The sequence below is a fragment of the Homo sapiens genome, chromosome 5, assembly GCF_000001405.40.
Source record: "Homo sapiens chromosome 5, GRCh38.p14 Primary Assembly".
NCBI lineage: Eukaryota > Metazoa > Chordata > Mammalia > Primates > Hominidae > Homo > Homo sapiens.
The window spans coordinates 27,282,495-27,292,534 of record NC_000005.10 but is presented as its reverse complement, the minus strand read 5'-3'; the positions used below and the strand labels follow the sequence as shown (position 1 = coordinate 27,292,534).

The 10,040-nt window shown below is 33.2% G+C and overlaps 1 annotated feature.

Annotated features, from left to right (window-relative positions):
• Nucleotides 1,900–2,459: an enhancer, noted in NCBI's record as "OCT4-NANOG hESC enhancer chr5:27290183-27290742 (GRCh37/hg19 assembly coordinates)". NCBI's record gives its function as "activates a minimal SCP1, AML or CMV promoter by ChIP-STARR-seq in naive H9 embryonic stem cells {active_cell/tissue: H9 hESC(naive)}" and the evidence as "EXISTENCE:reporter gene assay evidence [ECO:0000049][PMID:30033119]".

Below are 10,040 nucleotides of genomic sequence, written 5' to 3'. Positions count from 1 at the left end.
TTTCAGTTGCATAATACAACGCAGCGAAACCGTTTTAAAAAACTGATCTGACACTAGCTTTTGCATTTAATAGCTATCATGATTCTTTTTTTTTTTTGAGACGGCGTCTCCCTCTGTCACCCAGGCTGGAGTGCAGTGGCGGGATCTCGGCTCACTGCAAGCTCCGCCTCCCGGGTTCACTCCATTCTCCTGCCTCAGCCTCCCAAGTAGCTGAGACTACAGGCGCCGGCCACCACGCCGGGCTAATTTTTTTGTATTTTTAGTAGAGACGGGGTTTCACCGTGTTAGCCAGGATGGTCTTGATCCCCTGACCTCGTGATCCGCCCACCTCAGCCTCCCAAAGTGTTGGGATTACAGGCCTGAGCCACTGCGACCGCATGAACCAATGTTTATCTTGCTTATGTTGTTTAATGTTTCCTGTCTCCCTGGAATGCATAAAACCAAACTGTGCTCTGACCATCTTGGGCACAGGTCGTCAGTTTTAGGGACAAGCTGCCCCAGGACATCCCCACTCCCCCACTCCCCCCACCCTCTGCCAACTCAATGCCACTGACCCTTACCCTGAATACTCTGCAGCTGCATTCTTGGACCCTTATCTAGGCGCTACAGCAAGGTCACCAGACTTGCTTACAGCCCTCCAGTGGCATGGGGGAGGTCATGAGAAACGTGGATAAACCTAAGTTACACCCTCTTGTAAATTCCTATATCGTAAGCCAGTCACGAGACGATATGTGGTAAAGTTAATCCATGAACAACCCCAGCGTCTCTTTCCCCCGTATAAACCCCTCATTTTGTAAGCTCAGGGCTTCCTCCTCTGACTGTGGTGGAGCAGCCCTGCAGCTTAATGAACTTACTCACCTGACCTTGGGTCTCTCTCTCTCTCTTGCCCTTTCTCGGCTAACCTTACAGTCAGGACCTCCTGAGGCTGTGTCACAGACACGTGTCCTAAACCTCGGCAAAATAAACTTTCTAAATTAAATGGAACCTGTCTCAGATTTTTGGGGTTTACACCTGCAACTAGACTATTCCATCTGGGGTGATGAGAGACAGTGGCAGATCATCAGGCATTAGATTCTCATAAGAAGCATGCAACTGTGCCTTCACATGTGCATTTCACAATAGGGTTCATGCAGCTGATTATCTAATGCCACCGCTGATCTGACGGCAGAGGAGCTCAGGCAAGTCAGGTGAGGGATGGGGAGTGGCTATAATACAGACCAAGTTTTGCTCACTGGCCCCCTGCTTACATCCTGCCATGCAGCCCAGTTCCTAACAGGCCACGGACCCACACGAGTCCAGTCTGTGGCCTGGGGTTTGGGAACCCCTGGACTAGAACACTCAAGACCATATGACACAACATCTTTTCTATATGATTTTGTGTTACATGTCTCATGTAAGCAAGTTGCATGCTTACATGAGACAATAAAATTCCATTAAAGAAAGAAATTAGAAAATATTTTACACATCACTTTGTGACAAGTTCAAGAGATCATATGTAAAAACTATTAAGCTGAAAGTATCCAGAAAAAAAGTAAGATAAATAGTGTCCATTAATTATTTTCTCTAAAAATATGAAAGTCATATCAATTTTAAGTCACTAGTTTGCAAAGGAATCTCAGCAATACAGCTCTATATATTAAAACAATATTATCTAAGAAACTACATCTTTACACATGCATACTGGTTTATTTATATGAGAGTTTATTAACTTGAATTTAATATATTCTATATTTATAGTTAAAAACCAATATAATATTTCTCTGTTCTCATAAGTAGTTTTGTTACCTGTAAAAGTTGTCCAGGTTCTTGGCATCTTGAACAAAAAATTGGACAAAATGCACAAAGCAAGGAAAGCAAAAGCAAGGATTTATTGAGAATGAAAGTACACTCCACAGTGTGGGAGCAGTCCCGAGCATAAGGTCTTAAGAGCCCTGCTTATAGAATATTCTGGGGTTTCAATACTCAAGAGATTTCCTATTGGTTACTTGGCATATATTCTATGTAAATGAAGAGAATGAAGTGAAGTCACAGGGTCATTTACTCAGAATGTGCCCTATTGTAAATGGAGAGGATATTACTTGGTGTGTGTGATCTAGGTAAATGGAGAGGATGAATGTGAAGTTACAAAGTGTAAATAAAGAAGATGTTACTTGGTGTGTGTGGTCTACGTAAATAGAGAGGATGAATGTGAAGTTACAAAGCCATTCACATTCTTGTCATTGCTGAAGTGCTTTCATTTGATTTAGTTCTAGAAAGTCAGCATGGATCAGCCTTATGTTCCCCACCTCCAGGCCCTATTCTTCTGCCTCAGTTTCAGAAAAAAATGTTTAGAATAACCTATACAGTTAAATATTTCTGTTATCTTAGTAATTTACATTATTCTTAGATTTTATTTTCTTGAAAAGAAAACCCTAATAATAGTACCAACATTATTACACCCCCTCCCTCAACCAAAAAAAAAAAGCTAATACATTGCTCTCACTTTATATATAGTTGGAAATTTTATATATGTACATACTGTATATACTGTACCTGTGTACATATACACCAAATATAAATGCTTATATATGTATATACACCTATGTGTTCATATATAGTTATCATTTATTTAATATTGTGAATATAGTTATTTATTATTATTTCCTTTGAAATATTCTTTCTACAATAGTTAAAAATGCCAATTTTGAATTTTGTTTATTAAGTATGTTTTATTTTTATTCACCTTGACTTTCAGACAAGGGCAATTGAAACAAATATAACAATATTATAAAGATTTTAATGCTATTGATGGAAATTTTTTTGAATTTTTGTATTTATTTTTCATGAAGGACATGAACAATTAATTATCAAAATGGAAAAAAAATAGCTGAAACTTCAAGGATATTCTATAATTTTTTTTTTGCCATGATTCATCTCAGACCATCTGTATAGTGGCAATAAATCAGTAAAAAAATATGCCCATGTGTTTCTTCAAAATATAATTTAGTCTACTTCCTCCCCCAAACAGTTTTTCACTTCCCACGGATAGTGATTATATTTTATTTACATAAACATGGTGGAAAGATTATTGTGTCTTCCCAGCTGCAGATACCTGGAAATGGTTTCTTGATTACAGCTCTCATTGGTTTAGAGTAACCTTCGTACATTTTGTGAATCAGTTACGTCTATATCCCTTATGGATAAAGTTACAGAATAGTTTTAAATTTTTTTCCTTAGTATTTTCTGTATTCAGTATTCTACTTCATTCTTGCAAAACAGGAGAACAAACCCACAGAGTCTAGTTTCCAGAAGGAGACCAAATAAAGCACATTCTTTTGCTATTGAGTTGCCCCAATAACTGGATAACTTCTTGTCTAGCTAGGTGTCTCCAAGATGTTTCAGCCTTCTAATTCTAACTGGAAAGAATCTTATGCTTTTTTTAGATATTCTTGTGTATTAACTTTTTCTAGCAGCTTTTACATTAACATGTAGAAGATTAAAACATAAGCGACTGAAAAAATCCAACATTAGCAGGTTAAACAGCTATTGTTTTTCCCACTGTTAGACGTGTGCATGCATTAATTGATGTTCAGAAAAATTCAGTAACATGCTCAAAGTTGTGGAGCCCAAGTTTGAAAATGTCACTGTTTTATATCTCTACACAGTAGTTATTTTTCCTGGTATACCATACTGCCTCTAAGAAAGATTAAGCTTCTTTGCTGGCATAGGTTGATATGATCCAGAATCTTATTTTTAGTTGTCTAAGGATGCCACTTAATGCTGTTTATGCATTGATTGTTTCAGGTATAGTATTATTTGTGTTTACCGTATTAATTCTAGGCTATACCAGCACTTAAGCTTTCTATAAAAACCAACACTTGGCTACGTATGATGGCTCATGCCTGTAATCCCAGCACTTTGGGATGCTGAGGTGGGCAGATCACCTGAGGTCAGGAGTTTTGAGACCAGCCTGGGTAACATATAGTGAAACCCCGCCTCTACTAAAAAATACATAACTTAACTGGGCATGGTGGTGCACGCCTGTAGTCCCAGGTACTCGAGAAACTCAGGTAGGAGAATCACTTGAACCTGGGAGGTGGAGGTTGCAGTGAGCCGAGATCACACCACAGTACTCCAGCCTGGACAACAGAGCAAGACTGTGTCTCAAAAAATAAAATAAAATAAAATAAAATAAAATAAAATAAAATAAAATAAAATAAAACCCTTGCTTTTTGCTAAGATTCTTTATGTTTCAAGGTTTCAATAAATATGAATTCTTATATCAATATTATAGAGATCCAATTCAATTGAACTCAGTTGGAATAATAATTTTTGTGTTAATATAATTTTGTAGTTATTTTCCACCCATATTCTTATCTGCAGTGTACAGTTATTATTTTTATCTCCAAAAATATGATAATAAGGATGTAGTGACACTTCCTTTTACCCGTTAAATTTTTACAAATTTCTTATTTTACAAATCTAAAGAAACTGACCAAAACATTGACCTTTTATTTAATTTTTAGTTTGTAGTTAATATGGAAATACAGTGATTCTCACATAAATTCATTCAGGATTAACTTTGATTTCTAGACTCATTTAATGAACTGGCTTATTGATATATTCACTTAACATATGTGAAAAAGAAATCTTATTTTTGCCATCACCACCAAATCACCAAAGCTGTTTTTCTCCTACTCTTCTACAAATTTTGTCAATATCTGTTTTCTGAAGCCAAAACTTGAGATTCAACTTCGATTCATTTTTTTCCTGACAACTTGCATTAACATCATAAAGAAATCCTATCTGCTTCTTATTAAAATACATCAAAAAATTTACCAATTAAGTTTTGTCCTAGAAATAACACTTTTAGTGCTATGGTAATGCTATCTTTTTTTTTCCTTCCCATTATGATTTTCACCATGGAGACTGATATGGTTTGGCTGTGTCCCCACCCAAATCTCATCTTGAATTTTAGCTCCCACAATTCCCACATGTTGTAGGAGGGACCTGGTGAGAGGTAATTGAATCATGGGGGCAGGTCTTCCCTGTGCTGTTCTTGTGATAGTGAATAAATATTACAAGATCTGATGGTTTTAAAAAGGGGAGTTTCCTTTCACAAGCTCTCTTCTGTTGTCTGCCACCATGTGAGATGTGCCTTTCCCCTTCCACCATGACTGTGAGGCTTCCTCAGGCATGTGGAACTGTGAGTCCATTAAACCTCTTTCTTTTGTAAATTGCCCAGTCTTGGGTATGTCTTTATCAGCAGCATAAAAGCAGATTAATACAGGGACATGCCTGAACTAGTCTGCTGGAATTTGAGTCCACCTGTAGTGTCCAAGCCCCTTTAGGTAAGGCTATCTTGACAAGCCAGCCCCATCAACTAATTGAACAAGCCCAGCTGAGCTTAGCAAACCTGTGCCAGTTCAGAAGAATTGACCAGCCAACTCACAGATTTATTGGAAATAAAGGTTTATTGCTTTTTGTCATTGACGTATTGTGATTGCTTGTTAGGAAATACTATGTGATATTAAATTAGTGAAAGTGTATGAGTGGGTGTGTGTGTGTATCTGTGTATAAATTTTCTTGGTTTGACCTTGTCTCATTTTGGTAATTGAGTTATATAAGCATGTTCAAATGCATTAGATTAGGTAGCTTGTCATGTTTTCTATGCTTTGAATAATTTTTACAACAGCCACATTCCTCATTCTTAAGTATTTCCATTTATTTTTGGTTTATTAAGATTTTTGTATAATTCCTGGAGCCAATTTTGGTTTTTGATAAGCTTTAGAAAATTTTTCCATTTTAGTCACATAAATATGCATATTTGAATCTATATTTTCATATTACTGTCTTATTTTTAATTTAATTTACTCTAATTATGGTCCCTCTCTTTTAGATTTGTTTATTTGATGAACTATTTCTGTTATTAAATTTCTGTTTATTCTGTAACATTTTATACTTTATATTTTATTTATGTTAATGTAATTATCATTTGTGATCATTTCAGTGAAAAGCTATGTTCATTTAGTTTTAATGTTTCATCTAATAAAGAATTATTCAGAAATAGTTTTATATGGGCTTAGGGAAAGTGTTTTATTATTTCCTCAATTAATTTTATCATAGAAGTTAAAAAATGATTATTTTCTAGAATAAACATGGTTTTCATTATAGATTTTTTTGAAAGTTTATAGTGATTTATTTATGAAAATATAAATAATTATATGGTAAATCATGATTTTTGCTTGAAAAAATATTAAATCTCTTTTTACTGGATATACAGTATTACAGCTCTTTATTACAGCTCTTTGGCTTATTTTCATAATTGCAGTATTTAAATCCTTGCATACTCTTTTTTTCCACCTTATATCTTGATTTCTGGGGGTATAATATCAGTCTTCAACAAATATTTTAATTTTTTGGCCCTTTCTATTACATATGTAAAGCTATTATATTGGGTAAATACAAACTTGTGACTGCTATGTCATCTTGGTGAATTATTCTTTTTATCAACATTCTTGCATCTTTTCCATTTCTTTCACAAGATAGGATGTTGCCTGTTACATGATTGTTTATTTGTCAGTTCTCTCCTTTATCTTTATTTATTTATTCTGTGATTTTTATTCTCACATTCCTATACCATTTTAAATTTTTCTCTTTTGTATAGAATACATGTTATTTCTTATACTTTGAATTATTATGGTTATCATTACTATTGTAATTATCTGATTTTTATTTATAATATTTTTCTACTTCTTCAATTTCCCTTGCATTTATTTGTCTCATACACTGCTTTTTTTGTTTGTTTGTTTGATTGTTTTATTTAGTCATTTGTTTGTTACTTTTTAGCTCTATTAGTTGGAGAATAATATCTTCTATTCATATTTCTTTAGTGGTTCCCTTTAACATTATAATTTTGTGTTTAGCTTTTTTTTTTTAAAAAAGTATAGTGTCAACTATACATCCCTATTAAGCTTCTTAATCTGTTTTACTAAGACTATACTCAACAACTATCATCGTTCTAACACCTGCACTTTTAACTATACAGTTATAATAAACTTTACTTTTTTATTGATCAAACATAAAGATACACTGATGTCTGTTTTCCACTGCTTTCTGTATCCCACTGCCTAAAAATCCATAATTTTTGTAGAAGTAAATATTTATAGCTCTTATGTTATAAGCCTAATGCCTAAAATATTTAAATATTATATGACTGAAAATATCTTCATCACTTTCATAACAAAATTAGAGTTGAGCTAAATATATTATTTTATATTCTCAGCACCAGAGTTTTTCTTAGTATTCTGTAGTTATTGCTCTGAAATTCTCTTTCATCTAATGTTGCTTATAGAAAATATTGTGACAATATTACTATTCTATTTTTATTTATTTCTCTCAGTCCATTTTCTCTTTTTTTTCCTTCTTTCTCTACTACCTTTTGGAATTTTGTACTTTTTCCCTAATGTTCAGAAATCCCAATGCCATGTGTATAAATAGATCTTGCTGTTAAACAAAGTTTCTGATTCAGAAATCAGTGTACTCTAATATTGAAAAACCACAATTTAACAGTTCTAAATTTTCCAAATTTTACATCCCACACAATCTCTCTTCACTTTATTCTGGAAATTATTTTATACAATTTGAAGATTTCTCCCTTTATTCCCTATGCTTACTTATTTTTATACTATATTTTTGTTATATTTTGGGAGATATTCTTGAACCTCCATTCACTAGTTCACTGATTTTTCCTATAAACTCTCCATTTTGCTATTCAAAAGATTGATTATTTTACAATAAAATTTCCATTTTTAAATCTACCTGTTATACCAACTTACTTTTTGTTTTATAGGTGTATTTCACCTAACTTTCTGCAAATATACATTATTTTTATTTTAACATACCACTTCAAATCTTTTTCCATTCATTTGTCCCTGACTTTCACCTCCCTTCGGATTGATGTCTTCTTTACATTCCTCCCACCTTTGATGACAATTCCCTGCTTTGTCCTGAACTTTGTTTTTCTTTTTTGATCTGATGCCATCTTGTTTTAGACTGGCAAAGATTTCTTCATGGTTTTTGATCTATTAAGACTCTCACCTTTATTAGAACACTGCCATGTATGAACTTCAAGGTATTTTCTATCATAAATAAAATCCATCAGCCTCAAACCATACAATAAATAGTGTACTATTTGTTTTTCAAAATAAATAAAATACATTAATTATGAAATTCTTTCTACAAGACAGTCCTCCTTTCATAGAACTGTAGACTGTAGAAGTAATTGTAGTGATAAGAACATCTTAATTCTCTATTCATACCTTGTATCTAACCTTGGAACTGAAAATAAATATTTATTTTAGATATTTTTAAACTAAAGTTATTTATAAAACTTGGTGTGGAATGTAATTAGTTTAGCTATTTTTTTTTCAAGTTTTGAGAGCTCTTTAGAGAACTTCAATAACCCACTTTTGGCTGTTTATATAATAACATAGTGTTAAAGCTTATTGTTTTGAAAAAAAAACTGTTAGTTTCAGAAGTGATGCTCCAAAATTGAATTAATATATACCCAATTGATGGCTTTGAAGTAAAATCCATTTAATGTGTTTCAAATTTAAATATCTTTCTTGGTAAGTGGATTATGTACCTCATCACTTAGTACCCAACCATCAATTTTACTTTCATCTTTGAACAGTAATGTCCTCTATGACATATAAGCAAGCTTGCATTTGGTTAGTAAGTTGGATGAGAGTCATCTATATTTACTGTCAAAAGCAGCAGCAGAACTCTTGCATCTATGGAAATAAATTCACTTCCAGTATGAAACTATAAATCTCTTCAAAATAGGCTTTTACAAAAAGAATAAAAAAGGAACTCTGCATCACATTGCTATATTAATTATGGAAGTAGTAGCAATTGGTCCAACTCCACATGGTAATGTAACACCTTGGAGCAGTCCATATAAATTTTAACCACTTATATAACCAAACTAGAAACTGATATCCTGACAGGAAAGACGGAGGAGAGCAGAAAGGTAATCAAAGTATTGGTTTTAGGACATAATTTAAATAGCAATGATAAATAATGATACTTCTAAATATTGTGTTTGTGTGTGTGTGTGTGTATTAAATACTTCAAGCAGGATGACAAGGTAACATAATAGTTGAACTCAAACCTAAATATTTATTCAAGTAATAACATCCATGGGCATTGCAAACAAAGACATGAAACTGAACTTATAACTGGAATTACAGAGAGAACTACATATGATTTTAATTGGAAACAAAGACATTAATCTCAGCTTATAACTGGAATTACAAAGAGAACTACACACGATTTCAGTTCAAGTGACTTTGGATTTTGTACAATAAATGACCTGTTCAATGACATATGTGAGTTGATTGATTTTGTGTGTCCTTCAAACTCAATTTAAAATCTCTACAACATGCACACACATGTACCCATATGATACCCAGACATTTTTTCCTCCTTTAGCTTTTGTATGGATAATATAATCCTCCATACTACAAGACTAAAGAAGAGTTCAGGAAAGAATGTAATGATATTTTGTCATATAGTGGGAATAAAGGTAGATAGAGAAATGTAGAACATAGGACACCCAATTAGGATGATCATCTGAATGAGTAGTATCGATTTATTAATTGACTTATGCATCAAGTTAATGGGGTTTGAGGTAAGTGTTTTCTTATGTAGGGATAAGAAAAAAAATAGAATTTTGACAACATAGACCAGTTCGAGGGTGTGATTTTAAATACTGGAATAAAAAGGGACATTTTTTGGAAGTCAATTGACTAGTTAATAGTCAACAGATTACAAAAAAAATTTGATTGAAAAATAATTTGAGTGAGTAAAAATAAGGTAAAATGCAGGGAGTTAATGGGACTACCAGCAATGTTGTATTGTGTACCATACCCGAGATGATTGTCAAACCATGTAAAGGAAATAAAATATGATGGAAACATTAAATAGTTTTTGGATGTGAAAGACATACCAAAGAATGTAATTGGGCTTTATTGAGAAAGGTATGAAAAAATACTGGA